This window comes from Homo sapiens, chromosome 7 (assembly GCF_000001405.40).
Source record: "Homo sapiens chromosome 7, GRCh38.p14 Primary Assembly".
Classification (NCBI taxonomy): domain Eukaryota; kingdom Metazoa; phylum Chordata; class Mammalia; order Primates; family Hominidae; genus Homo; species Homo sapiens.
The window spans coordinates 156622804-156647179 of record NC_000007.14 but is presented as its reverse complement, the minus strand read 5'-3'; the positions used below and the strand labels follow the sequence as shown (position 1 = coordinate 156647179).

At 41.1% G+C, this 24376-nt stretch overlaps 1 protein-coding gene, 1 long non-coding RNA gene and 1 pseudogene across 34 annotated transcripts in view, besides 2 other annotated features; 1 reads left to right on the top strand and 2 right to left on the bottom strand.

The window, feature by feature from the left end:
* RNF32 (ring finger protein 32) overlaps nt 1-6976 on the bottom strand; it is a 36927-nt gene extending 29951 nt beyond the window's left edge. For 5 of the 33 annotated variants that reach the window (XR_007059986.1, XM_047419899.1, XM_011515805.4 and 2 more), the window contains exons 1-4: nt 6176-6406; nt 4093-4203; nt 3288-3379; nt 2423-2681 (exon numbers count right to left, since the gene is read on the bottom strand). Coding sequence is in view for 30 of the 33 variants with exons in the window: in XM_047419899.1 (XP_047275855.1) it covers nt 2423-2681; nt 3288-3302 (274 nt within the window). In the remaining 3 variants the exon portion in view is untranslated. Of the gene's footprint in view, nt 1-619; nt 727-2422; nt 2682-3287; nt 3380-4092; nt 4204-5145; nt 6407-6442; nt 6540-6846 lie in introns of those variants that run through there. The other 28 variants (XR_007059985.1, NM_001184996.2, XM_047419901.1 and 25 more) reach the window with 21 other exon arrangements.
* Nucleotides 6384-6975: an enhancer, noted in NCBI's record as "H3K27ac-H3K4me1 hESC enhancer chr7:156432899-156433490 (GRCh37/hg19 assembly coordinates)". NCBI's record gives its function as "activates a minimal SCP1, AML or CMV promoter by ChIP-STARR-seq in primed H9 embryonic stem cells {active_cell/tissue: H9 hESC(primed)}" and the evidence as "EXISTENCE:reporter gene assay evidence [ECO:0000049][PMID:30033119]".
* Nucleotides 6506-6815: a silencer, noted in NCBI's record as "silent region_18851". NCBI's record gives its function as "represses an Ori minimal core promoter by ATAC-STARR-seq in GM12878 lymphoblastoid cells {active_cell/tissue: GM12878}" and the evidence as "EXISTENCE:reporter gene assay evidence [ECO:0000049][PMID:35858748]".
* RNF32-DT (RNF32 divergent transcript) overlaps nt 6645-24376 on the top strand; it is a 168437-nt gene continuing 150705 nt past the window's right edge. Inside the window, exon 1 of the long non-coding RNA NR_026865.2 lies at nt 6645-8232. This is a non-coding gene — a long non-coding RNA (RNF32 divergent transcript). The remainder of the gene's footprint in view (nt 8233-24376) is intronic.
* RPL26P23 (ribosomal protein L26 pseudogene 23) lies at nt 13360-13866 on the bottom strand (annotated as a pseudogene).

The following is a 24376-nucleotide window of genomic DNA, read 5'->3' as shown; positions in this document are numbered from 1 at the left end:
AAAACAAACAAAAAATTAAAAAAAAACAGGCCAGGCATGGTGACTCACGCCTTTAATCCCAACACTTTGGGAGGCTGAGGCGGGTGGATTACCTGAGGTCAGGAGTTTAAGACCAGCCTGGCCAACATGGCAAAACCCCATCTCTACTAAAACTACAAAAATTAGCTGGGTGTGGTGGCACACACCTGTAATTCCAGCTACTTGGGAGGCTGAGGCACGAGAATCACTTGAACCCGGAAGGCAGAGGTTGCAGTGGGCCAAGATCGCACCACTGCACTCCAGCCTGGGCAACAGAGCAAGACTCCATCTCAAAAAAAACAAAACAAAATGAAATTTCAACATGAGTTTTGGAGGGGACAAACATTCAAACCATAGCCTAGCCACTGTGAGCTATCAAAAGACCTCTGGTACCTATCAACATAGTAATATATGTGAGTAGTGGATAAGGAACAAAGTATGAAAAGTACTTAGCTTGATGCTGTGAAAAAGTCTTCCAGACAACAAATGTAAGTGAAGGATTCCGTTCTCATTGATGCCTAATCTAAATGGAAGTTCTCCCCTATCAGGGACATACTTGATGTACTGGGTTGAATTGTGTCATCTCAAAATTCTTATTCACCTGGAACCTCTGGATGTTGACCTTATTTGGAAATAGGGTCTTTGCAGATGTAGTTAAGATGAGGTCATACTGGTTTAAAGTTGGCTGTACATCCTATGAATGGTATCCTTATAAGAAGAGGAAAGGGAGAGTACAATCACACCTAGAGAAGAAGGTTTTGTGAAGTCAGAGGCAGAGATTGGAGTGACGCTGCCACAAGCTAAGCAATGCCAGGAACCACCAGGGAAAGGTAAGTTAGGATTCTTCTGTAGAACCCTGCCAACAGCGCCATTTTGGACTTCTGGCCTCCAGGACACTGAGAGAATACATTTCTTTTGTTTTAACCCACCCAGTTTGTACTAATTGCTTGTGGCAGCACTGGGAAACGAATATCCTTAAAAACAGCATTTACAATTATAAGTGCATAATACATCTCCTTTTATTAATTAGAAGAAATGGAATTGATTTGCATGCCTTTATTTACAGGCACAAACTTGTAGCAATACCATACACAGTAAGAATGTGTGTGAAGTTGCATGCTATATGCATCCCACCTATCATAAAGAATTTCAATCAGCCATGACGGAGGTAAGGCTGACTTATTTCTATAGAGAATGACATTACAGAATTATTGTCACATGAAAATATGATCAAAGAGTATCTAGCAATCAAAAGAGATGGAAAAAGTATTACAGAGATATTTCAGGCAGCTAACTAATACAAAATATTATGCTATTTTTATTGATTTTTGTTTGGGATACATTTCATGTTGTTTTGAAATTCCTGATTTGTTGCAAGTTTTGGTCTTACTCTAAATACATATTCACACTTGCAAAAAGAAAATATTATCGTATGTTCTTAACCCCAAATGTTAACCTTTTATATAACCCTGGTACAAAGATCAAAACCACAAAATTAATGTTGCTATAATCTATCAATTAGCCTACATGCCTTCTGCAGATCTGGTTCTCTGTCACACTGATGTCTTTTTTCTGAACTAGGATCTGATCCAGGATCACAGATTGCACTTGCAGCTATGTCCCCTGGGTCTCCTGTAATCTGGAACAGTTGCTAGGTCTTCATTTGCTTCTGTTGACTTGATACTTTTGAAGAGTACTAGCCAGGAACTGTGTGGAATGTCTTTCACTTGGACTGGTCTGAGGTTTCCTCATGATTAAATTCAGATATACATTTTGGTAAGAATGCCACAGAAGTGATGTTGTACCTTTCAGCAGGAGACACATGATGCTGGCCCGTGCGTTACTGCTGACCTAACTAGGATTACTTGGTTCAGGTGCTGCTTGCCAAGCGTTACAACTGTACAGCTGAAGTAATTGTGAAGTTATTGTTTTTCTCCCTGCCATGTACTTGCATCTCTGGAGAAACTACCTCAATATTCTGTGTCTGTACGTAAATTTTTCTCATTCCTAATTTCAGTATTGATGATCATTACTGTGGTGTTTGCCAAAGGTGATTTTCTATCCCCGTCTACTATCCTTATGAGTTATATTCATTCTACTATAAGGGATTTTTCTTTTCCATCATTTATTTACTCAATTATTTATTTTTATCAATGTGAATCAATAGATATTTCTTTTGTTCTCCCATTTTTACTTATTCTACTTACCATTACTATCTTTACCTTCTTGCTCTAATGGTCCCCTATCATTTTTAAACTTCAATACATACATACCTTCAATACATACACACCTCTCTGTATAATTATAAATAAGTTATTTCTGTAACATAAAAAATTATACTATTAATCTCAATAGATTTTTTTAGCCCTAATAAGCCAAAAGATGAATGACTACGTCAGCTTACCCAAAGTCAACGGCGGCGGTTTGGGATCAAGAACATATTCTTTTTCTGAGTCTTCTAGTTTGGGGCACTGTGTAGTTTTTTTAAGTCCAGTATCTATTATTGCCTTTGTATCTCTTTTTAGAGATTTGTTCTCTTTCTTTTGTACTTGTGTCTTAGAATGATCTGCAACTGAAAGATTTCGAAGTTGAAGATCATGTAAAATGTGATCTTGTAAAGCAACTGCATTGACTGCCAAGTTATCTTTCTTAGATGAGTGACCCTAAAAAGTAGGAAAAAAGTCATATTTAGAGGAGTATTATGTAATATATCATTTAGAAGAGAACTGAGGCTTCAATACTCAACCTTGATGGCACATACAACCAAATCAAATAGTAAGGAATGCTTGACTCATTGTTACCTAAGTAGGAGCAGACCCTTGTCTCAGCATTTATGTTAACAATACAGGAATATCTTTTCATTTAATTATGAAAGCCTTAATTATAATATGAATAAATTCATTATGACCCATAAACCTGTGCATGCCTAAACAAACCCACGCTGCTTCACTATAATTAAATTAGACTCCAGGCAACTACTAAGGAGACTCCTGCCATTTCAGCTTATGCCTTTTTGTGAAAACTTAATAATTTCCTGTGCAGAATAAAAATCACCAAACAGCTAAGAGATGCTTGCAGTAAATATCGCCAGAGATTGTTTTTCCATTGGCTTGTCCACTGCCCCATGCGACACTTGGCATCGCCCATTCCTGCTGACAATTCCTAGTTCAAGCAGGGTTTGCAAACTAGTTTTTATACTCTCAAATGGCTGAATTAAAATACATTTCATGAGTCAAATAACGTGTATGTTTAAGAAAAGAATAGCGTACCTTATTTTTTAACATGCCGAATTAGGAAAAGTTGTTGCTTGGCTATCACAAATTCTATCATCACATCCTATCACCTTCCTTCTATTCTTCTGCTGCAAAGACGTGGTCAACAGAAAGTCAAAGTTACAGTGCACAGAAAAACCATGAAGTTTGTGAGGATGCTCTGTAAGAGTCTAACAGATCCTGAAGCAGCAGGAATGCCTGCTACAGGGTGGCACTAAGCTACACATTCTGGTTCTGGAGGAAGGGGGTGAACTCAAGTCAGTTATGCTTCGACTCATCCCTGTCCTCAAATAGTTCACCCCTGAGCTCCTGAGGACACATTAATACAAATGGTTAATTACTATGAATTAATCCATTGCTAAATATAACATGATACATAAGTACTACAAAACTTCAGGCTAACACTGGAGACTTGGAAAAACCAGTTAAACTGGCATTTGAAAGATACACAGAGGGAAATGAAGATGGCACATTACAGGTAGGAGGAAAGAACTGGCAGGCTGGAAATCAGCATGATATGCTTATTTTGGGGAGAAAGGGAACAATGAAGAAACTGGAACGCAAGAGGAACACTGGCTAACTTCAGTCTGTCCAGAACACAGAAGTACAGAATATGGGGACAGACCAACTTGAGTTCCAATTGAACTCTACCGCTTTGCTGCGCAAGATACTGGACACAGCTGAGCCCCAGGCTCCTCATCTATAAAGCAGGTATAATAACGCTGGCTTTGCAGGGTTGCCGCAAGGATTAATGAGACAACCTTTGAAGTATCTAAAGTAGGTCTTTTCACACAGAACTTACTCTTGTTATTCTTGCTTCAATTCCCTTCAAAGCTGGTGGAATAATTTGGAATTGGCCCTTTTAGATTTTGGACATGGTGTATTTTATGAAGACAGATGTATTCAAAATATACTGTGATGAGGAGAAATAGAAAGTTATTCAAGTAATCTAGGAACTGGCACAGAAGGCCCTTGAACATATTTCTTCTAATGTTGTTTCCCTATAACGCTGATGAGAAAAAAAATTGATCCCCAGCAGGGGCCACTGTCTGTTTGGAGTTTGCACGTCCTCCCCATGTGCTGTGGGTTTCCTCCAGGTACCCCGGGTTCCTCCCACATCCCAAAGCTGTGCACGTGAGGCTCACTGGGGCGTCCCCGTCTGAGTGAGTGTGAGTGTGCCCTGCCATGGGATGCCGTCCTCTCCAGGACTGTTGCCCGCCTTGGTCCTGAGCTGCCTGGATGGGCTCAGCCCCCTGCCACCCTGAACTGGAATAAGCAGGTTGGAAAATGAAAGGATACAAATTATTGTCAAATAAAAACTCGTAAAGCATACGGTATTCACACAGAGATGCAGGACAATACCCGATGCAGTAAGAAAGGCCCAGCGGGCTGAGAAGTGGCTCCTGTTTGTTTTGAAACTGCATGGTAGGGGGAGGTGCTTCAGAGCTTTGGCTTGGCCAACATTATCTTTAACACAGCCCCTCCACAACCCGGTCACTCATGGATTCACCAGAAATTGGGTAATGATATTTCTTAAATGTAGAGCTCATATGTACTTCAGTGTTTCATATTAGAAGTGCTTTGGTCTTTATTTAGAAGTTTGGCGATGTTTTTGTGACCAGGAATGTGCTGTGGGAACTTTCCTCTTATTTATATCAATTAACCTATGGTGAAACTGGTTTCCTTGTACACTGCATGGCTTAAAGCTCCAGTTTCTAAGAACCTATGGATGATGTTAAGTGAAGACTTACTGTGTTGAGGGCCTAACTCTAAAAATAGAAAGAAATTAATCCAAAATGTATTTCTAAGGACTAACACTTGTATTAAATTACTCCAACCGAAAGAACAAACTCACTAAGGCGTGAGTGGAGAGATAGAAAAGCACAGTGGAACCAAATCTCTGAGATATCCAGGGTTAGAAGTAAAAACGTCAGTCGCTGCTCAAGTCCTGGAGGCTTTGATGATGGTTCTTACTACAGCCCTTTTCTGTTCCCGTTCAATTCTGGCATCAAGAGATGTTTGAAATAAGTTCCACCCTGTATCTCATCAAGACAACTGAACTTGGAGAAATGGTGGAATTTAAAATACTGAAAGATCACTGCCAGAATTTTCTCAGTTCCTGCTTCCAAAATGCCTATAACCTGCAGAAGATACAGTTTGCATCACACTAAAAATGGTCCGGTCATAGCTGCAGTCTGCAATTTAATCTCAAGTTTCTACACAGTAGACCACTGTCATTAATATCAAGGTAAGAGCTTTTAAAACCTATACTCTCTTAAAGTCCTACGGTATCATTAAGTTTTAGAGTTTAAAATTCAGAATTTAAAGGTATTGAAAACCCTTCAAGTACCTACTCCAACTCCACTTTATAAATGAGAAAACCAAATACCAGGTGAGTCCTTCAATATATAATGAGCCTGCGGCACTGGTAGGGTTAGAAACGTAACCCTTGCCCAGTATTGAAAGCTAAGATTAACAGGAACCCGTTGCTTTGTAAATCCCAGTATTAAACGCTCAAGAGGCAGAGCTTGGTGGCAAAAACGATCACTGGGGTGCCAAAGCGAGTAACCTCAGCTAATTAAACACGCTCAATAAAAATACACGAGACCAAGCCTACGACGTAAAGATGCAATCCTACGTAGGGTCTTGGTGTTATCTCCTGCCTTCTGAACCCCGCTGACCGTTTTCTGAGGTTCCACTCATGCAGGAAGCGCGCGGTGACGAGGCTCCAATTCCTCTCAAAGCTGACACCACCCTGCACCTGGGGCCCCTGATGGCAGCCGGTCCTACCGGGTTCTAAAATTACCGACGTGGGATCACTGTTCTAAGGCTTTAGGCAGCCGTAAATTCGTACCCCTCAGATAGAAGGAGCTGTGGAAACTAACCAGGACCCCGAGTCCCCCAAGGAGGCTGCGCGCCGCTACGGGACCCGACCTCGCCTCACAGCTGCGGCCATCGCCGGCCCGGCTCGGAGGAGGCGAAAGCGAGGCCGCGGACGGCCCTCACCCCGAATCCATGGACCCCGCCCGCCTGGCGGGCCACCCTTCTTTCCGTCCCTCCCCCGAAGCCTCTCCGTGCCTCGACTCCTCCGCGAACACCGGAACCCAGGGACGTCTGCCCCTTTTCCCTCAGGCAACTCCCTGGCCGCCCACCGTTGCCGTAGCAACGCCCGCCTCCGCGCTCGCTCCCCGCGGGCTTGCTCACCAGCCCTGCCCCGCCCCGCCCCATACTGCGCATGCTCGCCAGCCCCGCCCGGCCCACATTGCGCATGCTTGCCAACCACGCCCTGTCCACACCACACTGCGCATGCTCGCCGGCCCCCGCCCCGCGCACGGCGTCAGCGTCTAGACGCAGGTGCGTTCCCGTCGAGGCTCGCGCAGCGGGCGTTTTTGGGGATCGCCTGGCGGGGGTGTTCGGGAGCCGCGGGCTGAAGCACGGGGGCGTGCAGGCGCCCAGGCCTCGTGTAGTGAGGGCCGAGCCCCGCGCCGGCTTCGCTGTAGTCCGCAGCCCCCGGCGGCTTTGTGGGCGCAGCCACGCTCCTCAGCCGCCCGCCCACCTGGGCCTGGGCCCCGGTTGTTTCCCTGCGGTGGCTGTGGTCGTTCCCGTTCCAGGGTCTCGAGCGCACCGCCCCTTCGCTGCGCTGTTAGTCGAGGGCAGTTTTCTGGGGGATCCCCCGATCCCCCCGCGCCGCTCAGGCGTCTTGGCTCGCGGAAGCGCAGGCGCCGACTGCCTGGCGTCGTCCGTGACTCCTGGCCCTTCTCTGTGGATCCCTTTGCTTCTCGTTGCGGGTTGTGTTTCCTGCTTCGTGGGCCTGGCCGTTTGCGTTTGGATGCAGGCCCGGGTGAGCCCTGCGTGGCCCGCTGGCCTTTTCCTGCTCCCTAGGTGACTGAGCCGCGTGTGTGACACATCGGAGTGAATTGAGGCAACGCGTTCCTTTCCAGGCTTGCAGCGGGCGGTGTCGTTCACGCTCCTGAGCAGAGCCTTCCGGTGCTTTACTCGACGCCACAAATAGTGCAGGGTTCCTCCCAGGGGCTGTCGCGAGCTAGAACTCTTCCCCGCCCCTGTGAGCTCGGGCTGTTCTTCCTCCTCCGCGTGGCTCACTCCAGCCTCGGATGTTTCCTCGCTGCACAGACCTGCTCGGGAAGACTCGAGAAGGCCACCCCAGGACTCCAGCTCTCCCCGGAAGGGCTTCCCCTCGGATTGCGTCTTGGCCCCTGGAACCCTCCCTCTGTATCCTCTGCTGTTCCTCTCTTGGCCTCCATTTGGGTTGTGGCCTGGATACTCTGGCTCGCTGCTTCCCTTCTCTTAAGGATCACAGCCCTGCACTGCCTGTCGTCCGGTGCCTGGAAACCATTGTATTTTTTGGTCTGATTTTGTAGTTGTTTGAGAACTTAAGTCTGGTCCCTCACACTCCATGCCCAGAAGCAGAAATGAGTAAAGTTTGTTTTATCTTTTCTTAATATGACAATTATTGTGTTGGTTCAACTTATGTTGTACTTTAATTAGAAGAAATTTGGCCGAAAATACAAGGAAAATATACAAATGCAAGTAATTTTTTTTAAACTTCCCTGAAAGCAGGGTCTAAAGAAATTACCAACCAACTTAGACTGGATCTAGAAGAAAAGGAAGGGTCTTTGCAGTCTTAGGACTCTTCCGTTCCGCGACGTAGGTGTTAGGATAACAGCCATAAATGGTTGTAAGACTTTGGGCTCAGATAAGTAGACTTAAGTTCAAATTTTGACTTATTTTACAAGTGTGTGATTTTTGGCAAGCTCATCTTCCTAAACCATGAGCTCCTTATTTGTAAAGGGGACATTAGCCACTCTCCAGCAACAGCCCTGGTACTTCTTCAGTCCTGGGATGGGACGTATGATTAGCCTAAGCGAACCAGAAAATCCAGGCCCGTGACCAGTGACTTGATCAGGGCTGGCGATATATCTAGGTAGGCCAACCAGGTGGACTCAGTATTTTTGTGGGTGCTACTGGAAAATTTATTTAATTCTAACTGAATGTAGAAACAGCAACAGACATGAAATGGCAGTTGTATTGCTGTCTTATCATGAGGTGAGGGCCTGAAGCTATGGTAGCCACCCTGTGAACCTTGGAAGGAGGGTTCTACAGGAACTGGCAGAGCTGAGACTGGGACGCAACCCATGTCCTGGTGACGTATTTGAGTCCTGAGGCTGGCCCTCCTGTTAGTCTTTTCTCTTACTGGCTTCAGCCAGATGGGGTCTGGTTTTCTGTTACTTGCAACAGGAAAAATTGGAATGATATCTATGCATGCTATTACCGCCTTATGGCTGTGGTGAGATTAAAACATGATACTGTGGGTGAACTGCTTAGTACAGTGCCTGCTATTCTTTATGTTGGTTTTAAGGTATTTTTCTTGAACTTTAAAGTTCTAAGAAAAATTACCGTTTTAAAATTCCTACCCTCTGTTCACATGTTTAAATTTTCATGATAGTTTTTCTGTCTGCATGTTTTCTATTCAAAATAAATTGGTCATTCTTCAGTTAGCCACGAAGAATATTGTGAATTTTTTATTTTTAAATTTATTTTTTATTGATACATATTAGATGAACATGTTTTTGGATAACGTGATAATTCGATAAATTCATAAAATCAAATCAGGGTAATTGGGATATCCATCCCCTTAAATATTTATCTTCTATTTACACTAGGAACATTCAAATTATTCTAGCTATTTTGAAATGTGCAATCGATTTGTGTTAAGTATAGGCTTGACTGAAAATTTAACCTTATTGCTTTCTAATTCTTGACAAAAACAAAGCTAACATAGTTGATATTTGAAGAATACATTCATTCTTCAAGATAGTGTGTTCTGTTGAAATGAGTTAGATGATCAGAATGCAACATTCTTGGATAGGGATAATTAAAAATATAGTCAACCTATCTTGTCCCCAAAACCATGTTATCAATGATTTGTATTTTAACATTATGCCTTTTGTTTTAAAAAAGTTTTTTTGTTTTTTTGAGATGGGCCTGAGAAACTGCATGTATACAAAGCATGTTTACATCTTCAGAAAACTGCTATTGAGTACATTCTCCATGGTGCTGTTCAGTGCCATTTGTGTAAGCACCCACATGATTGTTTTAGAATTTCAAAACCACTAATTGAATGTCCTAGGAATAGTGGAGACGGAAGAGAAAATTAGAGGTGCATGATGTTAAGGATGTTGAGGTGCTTAGTCACAAGGAGAAGGGCACCAGTGTACTTGGCTGATTAAGATGCACTTCTGTACTCCACTGTGCTTAAGAAGAAAGCTGCGGGTGGTACTCTAAGAGATCTGTTGTATAAACATTATCACAAAAAGAGTGATGATACCTGTGCTTATCCAAGGAAGAGCAGCCCAAGATGGATGGCAATAGCGGACTATTTAAGTGGAAGACATTGATATGAAGGGAAAATCTTATATTTTGCTTGTGTAGAGCGCAATTCACAGAAAGTGTTCAAATACTAGAATAGGCAGTTGGAGTCCAGCTTGTGGAAGATGGGGTTTTCTTCATGATGACACTAGAGATCATGATATTGGATACTAGTGCTGGCCCTGTATTTTTATTTATTTATTTATTTATTTATTTATTTATTTATTTATTTATTTATTTTGAGACAGAGTCTCTGTTGCCCAGGCTGGAATGCAGTGGCGCCATCTCGGCTCACTGCAACTTCTGCCTCCCAGGATCAAGTAATTCTCCTGTCTTAGCCTCCCGAATAGCTGGGATTACAGGTGCCCGTCACCACGCTTAGCTAATTTTTGTATTTTTTAGTAGAGTCGGGGTTTCGCTATGTTGGCCAGGCTGGTCTTGAACTTCTGACCTCAGGTGATCCGCCTGCCTCGGCCTCCCAAAGTGCTGGGATTACAGGCGTGAACCACCGTGCCTGGCCTATGGATTCTTAATGTATCATACCCATAATATTTGAATTTGCCCACCTGCCTAGTCTCTAAACACTGCACTAATGAAAGCCTAGGCAGGGTCAGAATGGTTCTTAGTTCAATATCCTTCTCACATTTTAGTATCTTAATGCTCTCACATTTCTCCTTTGTTATGTACAAAATATTCTCAAAGCCTACTCAGTGCCTATTTGACTCTTGTCTCTCTTAACACAGTCCTTGACATCTAAAACAAACCTAAGGAGCAGAAATTGGTGGCATGGGGTTCATCTTTAATTTAGTTCTCAATTTTAACCTTCACCAAAACCATCTCTCCATTTATTTTTCTTAATCTTCTGTATTACCTTTAACTTTCTACTCACACTTGTATATTTATTTATTTATTTATTTTTTCTTTCTTTATTATTATTCTTTAAGTTTTAGGGTACATGTGCACAATGTGCAGGTTAGTTACATATGTATACATGTGCCATGCTGGTGCGCTGCACCCACTAACACGTCATCTGGCATGAGGTATATCTCCCAATGCTATCCCTCCTCCCACACTTGTATATTTATTATCAATTTCTATTCCTAACTTGCTGATGTGGTTTGGCTGTGTCCCCACACAAATCTCACCTTGAATTGTAGTAAGTAATCCCCATGTGTCAAGGGCAGGGCCAGGTGGAGAGAATTCAATCATAGGGACAGTTTCCCCCATACTATTCTTGTGGTAGTGAATAAGTCTCACAAGATCTGATGGTTTTATACATTGGAGTGGCCCTGCGCAAGCTCTGTCTTGCCTGCTGCCATATAAGACCTGTCTTGCTTCCTGTTCCACCATGATTTTGAGCCCTCCCAGCCATGTGGAACTGTGAGTCAATTAAACCTCTTTCCTTTATAAATTATGCAGTCCCGGGTATGTCTTTATTAGCAGCATGAGAACAAACTAACACCCTTGCTTCCACCCAGATTATTTTTTCAAATAATTCTAAGTCATTGCCTATATTATGCAGTATGTGATGTCCAGCAATTGTTTGGAAATTTGCCAATCTCTCCGAGTGTTTTGTAGCAGCAGTTGCTGTAAAGACTCAGGTATACTTGTGGGAACTTACTGAAGTGTTTTTTTTTTTTTTTTCCTAGAGATTATATTATAGTTCTGTTTTGTCTTTAATAATGAAAAAGGGCTTAGGATGAGTTGTTTCCACTCCTCTGATAAAATGCATTTAAAAAAATACCTGTGGCAGACATATCATGATGACATCATTCCTGTCAACATTAAAATAGTAGTAGAGAAACACTGATGAAAACACTTCCGACACTGGAGAAGAGAGGAGAAATCTTGTTTTCATTCTTACTCTATAATTTAAAGTCACGGGTATAACAAGCGAGCCTTTAAAAACTGTTTTCCGAATTAAAAAATGGAGCAAATTCATTCTTTGTTGTTGAATTCAATATACTTAGAAGTAATTTATCACTTTGGTAAAGAATAATGTCCTACTATGCCTTAATATCTGACACGATGGAGATATTCTTGCTATCTACACTGTGATCACCAGATACCAGACACTTCAAAAATGTTGCCAAAAGCTGTTAGGCATACTGATTGTATGAAAGGTGTTTGGGTAATGTGGACTCCTTTCAGACATTTGTGATTTTTCTGCCTTAATTGAAAGTTTTGACAGGTTTGTAAAAGCATAAATGTCAGGTTATTAGTAGAAACTCTAAAATAACCTGGGAAATAAATACATATACTGGTTTCAACCACTTTGGCTAAAGCTGAATGTCTCTAAAAATTGAATCAGCTGATGCTCTAATATGTTAAATATATCAAGAGACAGGATGTTTCCTGATCACATCCAGATAATTTTTTTAATTAATAGATTTATTTTCTTAATAAATTTTACAGATAAATTGAACAAATAATACAGAGAGCTCCCTCTCCTTGCAACAGTTTCCCCTATTTGCCATTTGTATGCTATATTTGTTAAAATTGATGTACAATAAGGTTGTTCATGTTTAATGTTGACTATGAAATTCTCCGCAAATAAAAGTATACCCCACAAGTACACAGGAGAGACCCCTTCTGCAGTTCTATTCATAGAGGCACAAGCAAAGGAACTATTGAGAGATAAGAGTCTCATGATAGCAGAAAAGTATTGATCCATGATCTTGGGAAAGCTGTCCACATCTAGGATGCTGTCTGCTTTTAGGGAGAAACTTTCCTGGTTAGCTTTACCTTAAGGTCTCCAACAAGTGTATAGATTGAAGAGTCTGGAGGGGCCCATTTCAGCTGTGAGATTGTAAACCCAAGGCTCAAGGTGCTGAAGTTTTGCTGCAGTGTAAGTGGCAGGGGCAGTCTTTCCCTGATGATGTTTCCAGAAGAGTCAGTTTCTAGGCTTTAGATCATGTAGGGTTTGTCCTCAGTGGACCATGGAAAGCTTTCTTTACCTGGTGAAAATAGACTTGGGCATAATGCATTAAAGCCTGGCAGCACTTAGTCATATCAGAGCTTAGGAGGAGAAGATGTGTGAGGTTTTATTATTAGGAGCATAGGCCTTCAGTGACTATTGCATAAGGGATCAACTTAACGTTTTGCACATGGAAGTGGATCTGTCATCAATCCGCAGTACTTTAGACCAAGGAAATCCAGTCAATTCAGTTAGCTTTGCCTGATGTGATTGTACCTATGATACCTTATCTCATTGTTTTACAACTTGTCTGATGAAACAAGTACCTCTATCACTAGCAATCTTTCCAGGTATGTCCCATGAGAGAAACATGTTTCCTAATAACCTTTTGTCTACTGTTACAGCACGAGACTTTTTGAATGGAAAAGCTTCTATACAATCAGAAAACATGCATTGAAAATGGCAATGGAATGAAATCCCTCTAAAAATGTTTCAGTGGCCTATAATGTAGCAGAAATGTACATGAAGTTTTGATTGCCTTCCCAGGATTGTAGATTTGACAAACCAAACATTGGACATAAACTATTTTAGCAATTTAGAACATGCCAATATTCTATTTGGATCATCTTACCTCTTCCATGATGGGCCTTGGAGTGTAGAGCTTTTAGTAATGGAAGCTTTAAGGATTCAGGAAGGACCAGGCATCTGTCCAGGCTCCATGAGTCCATCCTTAACATTAGATTTATATCTTCCTTTTGTTTTTCATTTCAAGTTTTAAAGCTTGTATATAAGATTACTTTATTCCTGCATCTTCTCAATTGTTTCTTCCTTGTATTTGCCCTTTTCCTACTTGGCGAGATTTGGCTTTCTGTTCAAGAATCTTTTTGCGGTCTATGTCCAGTTTTAGCCTAGTGATAACCACCTTGCTGGGGTGAATGCCTACATGGACAGTTGTGCCATTAGCCTTTTCCCACTGCACCCGTTCGATGTAGAGGACATATTTCTTCCTGTAAACCTGGACTACTCTGCCAATTGGCTAACCTTTATAGTGTCCTCGTACAACCTGAACTTCATCATCCTTTTGGATGGGCATGGATCACACGTTGTACTTCTGTCTCAGCTCTTTGGAAAGAGGGGAAGACATAGTCTTCCTGTAAATGTGGGAAGGTGCATTGAAATGCCTTTTGTGGTTCTTGTTTCGGTTGGAAGTCGCAAAGGGATTGAACTTCATTTTGGCGATTGCTGCTTCAGTGATAGCTGCAAAATGGAAGATTTATGTCTTCTTAAATATCAGTTTTGTTTCTCCAATTCACGTGCATAGCACTGTTTATTAGATGGGTTATCATAGGTAAATTTGACTTGGATCATGGAATTCATCTAAACTACATATCAAAACAATTTCAGTACTGGCTGACTTAGCTTGAAGATCTGGCAGAGTAGTTCCTTGGTATTCAATTAATTTTTATCCTAATTGGATTATCAGTTTCATAAGCCAGTCAGTGTGTTCATTAGAGTGCTGGTAATTCATACCCAGTCTAAACGATATGATCCTAAAGACATCAGAAACTTCGCATTCAAGAGTGCTTGTCAGGGTCCTTTCCATCCTTTTCATGAATCTCCTTGAAGGCATGATACTCTAGGATTTTACTTGCTTATAAACTTAACATAGCAAATAATCCTGTTTCTCTGTCTTTTGGATGCTGCAGGGGCCCTCTGTAGCATCCCAAAGTTAGTTTGAGGTAACAACAAAAAAAGACAATTTGAAATTTGATTTTGGGAAGGCTGTCAAATATGTCAAAGGCTTAAAATAATCAAAATAGGATCACAAGGCATTGTAAGATAATATTCATTTAGCCAAAGTGATAAAAGGGGTTAGAAAGCAAAAACCTTTCTTCTTTGATAGAGGGGAGACTCAGTTTTCCAATCAACAGATCTGAGAAAGACAGCATGAGACAGAATCTGTCTCCTTCTCTCCTCTGTCTCTCTTTTGCAGTTTACTCAAAAGGTGAACAAAAGTCTTTTACTACCTCTTATTAATAATACTACATGAAAATTCTTGTTCAAAAGGGAAAACCAAATTTTACTTTTGCATAGTGTATTATCAACACTAAGCTAATAAAACCTTATAAACAGATCTGTCCAATTTGTCATCTTTTGACCACAGAAAATTTCCATAAACTTTTTATAATCTCTTACAATTTTTTTATTCTTTCCAACTTTATTCATTTATCTTTCTTTTTTATTCCTTCAATTTGAAACAATCTTCAGCTTCTAGACAAAATTATTTTTTTTCTCAACACACATTTTCATGCCTTTACAACTTTCCTTACCGAAAAATACTTTGCTTTTCTTTAGACACTATATACAAAATTGTTTTTTATATCTATTAGTTTCAATTACATATATTAACTACAGTTTTAACTACTAGTAACCCTAATTTCTAGTGAAAGCCTAGGAAGTAGTTTTGAACTGTTCTATATCAATAATTGTAGATGAAAACTATTTCATAACTTTTTAGATAGGTTTTCTCAAGTTTATTAATAGATGTAAATATATGTAGCTTTTCTATACCATCTAAAAATAAGATGCCAAAATATATAAACTTAAATTTATGTTTACTAATTAATGTTTCAGTATTTTAACTTACTTAGAAATGATTCAGACATTTATGCTTATTACTTAATTCAATATAGCATAACTTTAAGATTTTAAATTATGGAAAAGAACTTTGAAACAGGTACTCTCCTGCCAATGACACAGGTACTCTCCTGCTAATATTTTCCTCAGTTGTTCTGAGTCTCAAGTAGTCACATCGTATCCAGGATGGCTTTGAAGGGCAGGGCCTATTTGGGTCTTGAATTTACATACCAAATGTAGAGCTCAAGACAGAAGACACCTGTGAAGATGATGCCTGGGAGATCCAAACCCTTTCAGCATGGCTAGGAGACAAAGCTGGGCCAAGGAAGAAGGGGCTCATCTTGGGCTTGACTCTGCCTAGTAATTGGTGGTCTGGCCACTGATAACATGTCCTCAGGCCTCACTATGGCCACCTATCCAGACCCCAGAATCCAGAGGCTCAAAACCAAGAACAAAATATTACAGACAAATTAAGAAAGTATATAAAGTATTATAGAAGCAGCAGTTTTATGCCCTTAAAAACATGTAGAGATAGCATAAACCTATTTGACCAGTAGATCTAGCCAAAAATATCTGAATTATATTTAACTAACAATTCTGAAGCCATTTCTATCTTATCAACAATTTTAAAGCTAGCTTTATTTGCCAAATATTATACACATAATACATATCAACATACAGACACATGGAGAAGCAGAGCTTATAGCTTTTACAAGTAATTCTCATTTGCTGGCTTTCAAATAGTTTTTATTTCCCTATTCAGACTTAATCTTCCAATTACCTGTTTCATTGCCCTAAGCAATTGTTAGCTAGGCAGCCCTAAATTTGCATTTCTAGGGATGACTGTTAGGTGAAACAAGGTAGAAAATTTATATCTGAAAAGCTCGGAGCTGAGACTTTAGGCTTAAAGGAAAAAGATTGTACATAAAGGCATAGTTAAGACAAGATGACCAAGAAAAGTGCCATAAAGGTAATACTTGTTATGTAAATTTAAAATAATGTTAAGAGTTTTTGGGGTTGGGAGGTGGTACCACACACTTTTAAATAACTAGATCTCACAAGAACTTACTATCATGAGAACAACACCAAGGGGAGCAATCTGCCCCTGTGATCCAATCACCTCCAACATTGGGGATTACAACATTGGGACCTCACTCCAACATTGGGGATTACAATTTAACATGAGCTTTGGGTGGGGACACAGATCCAAACCACATAATTCCTCCCCTGACCTTTCCAAATTTTATATCCTCACATTGCAAAATACAATCATGCCTTCCCAACAGTCCCCCAAAGTCTTAACTAATTCCAGCATTAACTCAAAAGTCCAAAGTATCATCTGAGACAAGGCTAGTCCCTTCCACCTATGAGCCTGTAAAATAAAAAAAACAAGTTAGTTGCTTCCAAGATACAATGCAAGTATGGGCATTGGGTAAATACTCCTGTTCCAAAAGGAAGGAATCCACCAAAAGAAAGGGGCTACAGGCCCCACTTGAAGTCTGAAACCCAGGAAGGAAGTTATTAAACCTTAAAGCTCCAAAATAATCTTGTTTGACTCCATGTCCCAATTTCAAGACACACCAGTGTGAGAGGTGGGCTCCCAAGTCCTTGGACAGCTCTGCTCCTTTGACTTTGCAGGGATCAGCCCCTGCAGCTGCTCTCACAGGCTGTGGTTGAGTGCTTGCAGCTTTTCCAGGTACATGGTGCAAGCTGTTGGTGGCTCTACCATTTCAGGATCTGGAGGATGGTGGCCCTTTTCTCACAACTCCACTAGGCAGTGTCCCAGTGGGGACTCTATAGGGGGGTTCAACCCCACATTTCCCCTCTGCACTGCCCTAGTAGAGGTTCTCTGAGAGGGCTCTGCTCCTGCAGTAGGCTTCTGCCTGGACATCCAGGGTTTTCCATACATCCTCTGCAATCCATCCAGGTGGAGGCTTTTGAGCCTCAACTCTTGCGTTCTTTGCACCCACAGGCTTAACATTATGTAGAAGCTACCAAAGCTTAGAGCTTGCACCCTCTGAAGCAGTGGCCGAAGCTGTACCTGGACCCCTTTTAGCCATGGCTGGAGCTGGAGTGGCTGGGATGCAAGGAGCAGTGTCCAGAGGCTGTGCAGGGCAGCAGGGGCTGGGCCTGGTGCAGGAAACCATTCAGTCCTTCTAGCACTTCAAGCCTACGATGGGAGGGTGATATGGTTTGGCTCTGTGTCCTCAACCAGATCTCATCTTGAATGGTACTGCCACAATTCCCACATACTGTGAGAGGGACCTGATGGGAGATAATTGAATCGGGGGGCAGTTTCCCCCATACTGTTCTTGTGGTAGTGAATAAGTCTCAGGAGATCTGATGGTTTCATAAGGGTAAACCTGTTTCTCTTGGCTCTTATTCTCTCTCTTGCTGCTGCCATGTGAGATGTGCCTTTCACCTTCTGCCATGATTGCGAGGCCTCCTCAGCCACATAGAACTATAAGTCCAATAAACCTGTTTCTTTTGTAAACTGCCAAGTCTCTATGTCTTTATCAGCAGCATGAAAATGGATGAATAAAGAGAGGCTGACTTGAAGGTCTCTGAAGTGCCTTAGAGGTCTTTTTGCCATTGTCTAGGTTATCAGCACTTGCCTTCCTTTTAGTTGTGCAAATTTCTGAAGCCTGCTTGTATTCCTCCCCTGAAAATGGGCTTTTCTTTTCTACAACATGGCCAGGTTGTAAATTTTCCAAACTTTTATGCTCTGCTTCCCTTTTAAATATAAGTTCCAGTTTCAGGTTATTTCTTTCCTCACATATATGAGCATAGGTTGTTTAGAAGCAGCCAGATCATATCTTGATTGCTTTGCTGCATAGAAATTTCTTCCATCAGATACACTAAATCATGTTTCTCAAGTTCAAAGTTCCACAGATCCCTAGAGCAGGGACACAATGCAGCCAGGCTCTTTGCTAAAGCATAGCAAAAGTGATCTTTATTCCAGTTCCCAATAAGTTTCCCATTTCCATCTGAGATCTCCTCAGCTTTGACTTTATTGTCTGTTTCACTATCAAATTTTTGGTCCCAACAATTTAGCAAGTCTCTAGGATGTTCAAAATGTTCCTTAATCTTCCTTTCTTTTTCTGAGCCCTTCATGCTCTTTCAATCTCTGTTTTCCAAAGCTGCTTTCAGGTTTTCAGGTATATTTATAGTAATACCCCACTTCTGGTACCAATTTTCTGTATTAGTTCTTACACTGTTATAAAGAAATACCCAAGACTGGGTGATTCATTAAGAAGAAAGAGGCTTAATTGGCTCACAGTTCCACAGGCTGTACAGGAAGCATGATATTGACATCTGCTCAGCTTCTGGGGAGGCCTCAGAACACTCAGAAGGCAAAGGGGAAGCAGGCATGTCTTCTTAAATGGCCAGAGCAGGAGCAAGAGGTGGGGTGGTGGGATTCCATACAGATCTCATGAAAACTCACTCATTATCATGAGAACAGCACCAAGGGAGAAATCTGACCCCATGATCCAATCACTGCTCATCAGGCCCCACCTCCAACATTGGGGATTACAATTTGACATGAGATTTGGGTGGGGACACAGATGCAGACCATATCACCAGTCGACTGCCAGAAAGATGTATTTTAGAGACATGATTTTGTTCAATAGGTGGTCTTTTTAACTTAGGTACCGTTTCTTGGTTAAAATTACTGAGTTCAGGGTGGAGCCCATTAAATAGGGCAAAGAAAGCATTCTCTGTGTCTGGACTCAGCGTGGATACCTCTGAAAAAGAGGCAAGCCTACTTTACCCGAGGGCCTACCTTTTATAAACACTTTATCCAGGATAGCTTTCTTTTTGCTTTTGGGGTGGGATAGTAACTAAGCCAAAAGGTTAGCAGATTTAACTTTTCTTATCAATTAGTCACTTAAACTTTTTGTTTGTCTTTTAGAATGATTCTTTTAAAAGAGGCAATAAAAAAATTGACATCTTTTTAGAAGCTTCTGCAGATCAACAGGCATTGCTGGATGAGACTAATTTGGGAGCCCTCATTTTCAAATGCACTTCTTAAAGTGCAGTGTTGTTTATTTGAATGTCCTACTATAGTTTTGTTTGTTTGTTTGTTTGAGACAATCTAGCTTTGTCGCCCAGGCTGGAATGCAGTGGTGCAATCTTGGCTCACTGCAACCTCTGCCTCCCAGGTTCAAGTGATTCTCCTGCCTCAGCCTCCCGAGTAGCGAGGATTACAGGCGCCCACCATCATGCCCAACTAATTTTTGTATTTTTGGAATAGACAGGGTTTCACCATGTTGGTCAGGCTGGTTTCTAACTCCTGACTTCAGGTGATCTGTCCGCCTCAGCCTCCCAAAGTGCTGGGATTACAGGTGTGAGCCACCGCAGCTGGCCCCTACTGTAGATTTTAATTGTCTTTAATAATATTTCACCATGTCTACATGCCCTATTTGCTGTTTGTAGGGCCTAATACTTATACATATATAGATAGGCAAAGCCAGAAGGTAGAGTACTCAGTTCTTCAGAAATTAAGGATTCCATTTTTACATTGAATCTTGGCTTTGGCTACGAGATCCCCATAATCAACTTAGCCAATGATTTTTCCTACCTAAGCATGCAAGAAAGAGAAACAAAGGGGATGGAACACACAAAATCGCTACAAATTTTCGAAAGCTGGAGTTTGCGCCCCCTGCAGTGCTGCCATGTACTGCCAGTTTCTGCCTGACCCAGTCAGACGTCTGAGGCCTCTATCTAACTGGATTCAAGCCAGTTAATCATCAGATCCAGTCTGATCCTGGACCCAGTCCAGTTTGTTATGACTTCTGAACCCAGTTGGAATTAAAATTTTGCTCAAACTTGGATAGCTCAAAACACAAATCTGCGAAGCTTACCCAGCATCCCCAACAGCTGTGAGACACAATACTCACAGTGGGCCCCGTGGGGATCCTGTTTGGTTATTCGATGCTCCTAGGTGTCACTGGACATTCTACTTTGGATCCCACTTCTGATGCCATCTGTTAAAATAAAAACTTGAGACAAATCAAATTTACTAGTGCTTAATACAGCAAAGAACGATTTGTGAATCAGGCAGCCCCCCCAAACCAGAATAGGTTCAGAGATACTCCGACACTGCTGCATGTTTGAAGAGGATTTACAGGCAGAAAATTAAAGAGAGGTACAGAAAATGGAAGCAAGGTACAGAAACAGCTGGATTGGTTACAGCTCGGCATTTGCCTTATTTGAACATGGTGTGGCTGCCTGTGAGTGGTTGAAGTATGGCAGTGATTGGCTGAGACTCAGCTACTTGTCACAAGTGTAGGTTACAGTCTGTTTGCATGTCCAGTTAGGTTACAGTTTACTATGTACAGAAAAACTTTTAGGCTGAACTTACAAAGAGGCGACTTTAGGCTAAACTTAAATTTAATAGTTCCTTAGCCTTTCCCTTCTCCCCTTATGTGAGACAAGAAGACTAAAGGGAACGGAATGCATTCAGTTGTCTTTTTCGTAGGTTAGACAAGGCTCTAACAAGATAGTTTACCCTGAGGACCGGTCCCTGCCGTGAAGAAGAGAAAGCTCAGGTGTATTTCATAATGGCAACCTTTCTCCATGGCCTATTTCAAAATGGTTACTTTTCCTCTCCTACTGCCACAAACACAAAGGAGTTTTTCTGTGAAATTCAGTGTGAGAACCTGTTCAGACTCCTGTAGGTAAAATTTATGAAAGTATGAGGATACCTTAAGAGTGGGCCCCCAGGCTGAGCACAGTGGCTCACGCCTGTAATCCCAGCACTTTGGGAGGTCAAGGCAGGCGGATCACCTGAGGTCGGGAGTTCGAGACCAGCCTGACCAACATGGAGAAACCCTGTCTCTATTAAAAAAATACAAAATTAGCCGGGCATGGTGGCTCATGCCTGTAATCCCAGCTACTCAGGAAGGCTGAGGCAGGAGAATCGCTTGAACCTGGGAGGTGGAGGTTGCAGTGAGCCGAGATTGAGCCGTTGCACTCCAGCCTGGGCAACAAGAGTGAAACTCCGACTCAAAAAAAAAAAAAAAAAAAAAAAAAAAAAAGGAGTGGGCCCCCAGTGGTCTCTAACTCTTAGGCAAGTCCACACTCAGCCTCTAGCAATTTGTGCCTGCCAGCTGCTGGCTGCAGCAGTAACTTTTGTACCTTGTAAACTGTGGCTCTCTGTATTCATGTCTGTCCCCAGCTTTTGAGGTGGTGATTTGCCCTGTGACCTCATTTCTCTGGTTATTCTAAGAAGTGTTGTTGATTTTCAGTTTGTTCAGTTTTTTCTTGTTGTGAGGTTGACAGCAAGTACTGCAAGTTCTTTGCATGTCAGAGTAAAAACCAGAATTTGTGAATCCAAATGGGTTTTTTGTTTGTTTGTCCTTGTTTTGTTTTTGCCTTTAACTGTCCTCTTGTTGTATCATGTTCTTTTATTCACATTCTTTGGATTTTTTTTCTTTCTTTCTAATTATCTCTCTTTTTAGTTTTTCTACCTTTTATTTTATAATGATCCCAGGAGGATTTTTTGGTACTTATTCCCTTTGCTGTCTAGCACCTACTATTTATTTGGTTTATGTACATTTTCTAAATTTTTCCTCTATATTTTTAGTTTCATAAATTCTTAATAAGTTATTTAATGAATTGATTTAGATATTTTTTTTTGAGATGGAGTTTCGCTCTTGTTGCCCAGGCTGGAGGGCAATGGCCTGATTTCCGCTCACTGCAACCTCTGCCTCCTGGGTTCAAGCAATTCTCCTGCCTCAGCCTCCCAAGTAGCTGGGATTACAGGCATGCACCACCATGTCTGGCTAATTTGGTATTTTTAGTAGAGATGGGGTTTCACCATGTCGGCCAGGCTGGTCTTGAACTCCTGACCTCATGATCCGCTCTCCTTGGCTTCCTAAAGCACTGGGATTACAGGCATGAGCCACCGCGCCTAGCTTATTTATTTATTTTTAATGTATAAAACTATATATATTTGTTATGTACAGTGTGTTGTTTTGAAATATGTATACATTGTAGAATGACTAAATTGAGCTAAGTAATGTACGCATTACTTCGTGTAATTATTTTGTGATGAGAACATTTAAAATCTCTTAGCAATTTTCAAGAATTTAATACATTGTTATTAATTATAGTCATATAATAAGTTATACAATAAACTATAGTTATACAATATATCTCTTGAGCTTATTTCTCCTATTAACTGAAATTTTGCATCTTTTGACCAACATCTCCTGAACCTCTCCCTCTCCACAGCCCCTGCCAACCACCATTCGACTCTCTACTTCTATGAGATGAACTTTTTTAGATTCCATATATTAGTGAGATTACTGGCATTTGTCTTTCTGTGCTTGACTTATTTCACTTAACATAATATCCATATGATTGCAAATGACAGGATTTACTTCTTTTTATGGTTAATAGTACTGAATTGTGCATATAAACCACATTTTCTTTACACATCTGTTGATGGACACTTGGGTTGATTCTACATCTTGGCTATTGTGAATAACACTGCAGTGAACATGGGAGTGCAGTTATCTCTCCAACACACTGCTTTCATTTTCTTTGAACACATATCCGGTAGAATTGCTGAATATGGTAGTTGTATTGTTAAGTTTTTGAGAAACCTCCATACTATTTTCCATAATGGCTGTAGCAATTTCCATTCTCACCAGCAGTGTGCACGTGTTCTCTTTTCTTCACATCCTCTTCAATTCTTGTTATCTTTGATCTTTTTGGTAATAACCATTCTAACAGATGTGAAGTGATACCTCATTGTGTTTTTAATTTGCGTCTCTCTGATGATTAGTGATGTTGAGCAATTTTTTTATTAATTTTTTTATTGAGACAGAATCTCACTCTGTTGGCCAGGCTGGAGTGCAGTGACACAACCTTGGCTCACTGCAGCCTCCATCTCCCAGGCTCAAGCAATTCTTCTGTCTCAGCCTCCAAGTAGCTGGGATTACAGGCACCCATCACCACACCCGGCTAATTTTTCTATTTTTAGTAGAGACGGAGTTTCACCATGTTGGCCAGGCTGGTCTTGAACTCCTGGCCTCAGGTAATCCTCTCGCCTTGACCTCCCAAAGTGCTGGGATTATAAGCATGAGCCACCACGCCCGGCAGAGCAATTTTTTATATACTTTTTGGCTCTTTGTATGTCTTCTTTTGAGAAATGTCTATTCAGGTTCCTTGCCTATATTTTAATCAGGTTATTTGATTTCTTACTATTGAGTTGTTTGGCGTCCTTATATAGTTTGGATATTAACCTCTTGTCAGGTGCATAGTTTGCATATATTTTCTCCCGTTCTTTAGGTGGTCTCTTCACTCTGTTGATTGTTTCCTCTACTCTGCAGAAACTTGTTAGTTTGTTGCAATCCCATTTGTCTATTTTTGATTTTGTTGCTGATGTTCTTGGGGTCGTATCCAAAAATGAACCAGGCCAATGTCATGGAGCTTTTCCCCTATGTTTTCTTCTAGCTTTATAGTTTCAGGTTTTATGTCAGTCTTTAATCCATTTTCAGTTGATTTTTAAAAATCTGGTGTGAGAAAGGGTCTAATTTTATTCCTCTGCATATGGATGTCCAGTTGCCCCAACATGATTTATGGAAGAGACTGTCCTTCCCCTATTGTGTGTTTTTGGCATTTTTGTTGAAACTTAATTGCCCATAAATGTGTGTATTTATTTCTGGGCTCTCTATTCTGTTCCATTGGTCTATGTGTCTGTTTTTATGCCAGTACCATGCTGTTTTGATTATTATATGTTTGTAGCAGATTATGAAGTCAGTCAGTTTGATCCCTCCAGCTTTGTTCTTTTTGCTCAAGAACCTAGATTGCTTTGGCTATTCAGGGTCATTTATGGTTCTATACAAATTTCAGGATTGTTTTATCTATTTCTGTGAAAAAATGTTATTGGAATTTTGATGGGGAGTGCATTGAATGTGTAGATTGCTTTGGGTGATACAGACATTTTAACAATATTAATTCTGTCAATCCATGAACACAGGATTTTCATTTATTTGTGTCTTCTTAATTTCCCTCATCATTGTATTACAGTTTTCAGTTTAGAAGTCTTTCATCTCTTTGGTTAAATTTATTCCTAAGTATTTTATTTTATTTTATTTTGTAGGTATTACATATTGTAAATGGGATTGTTTTC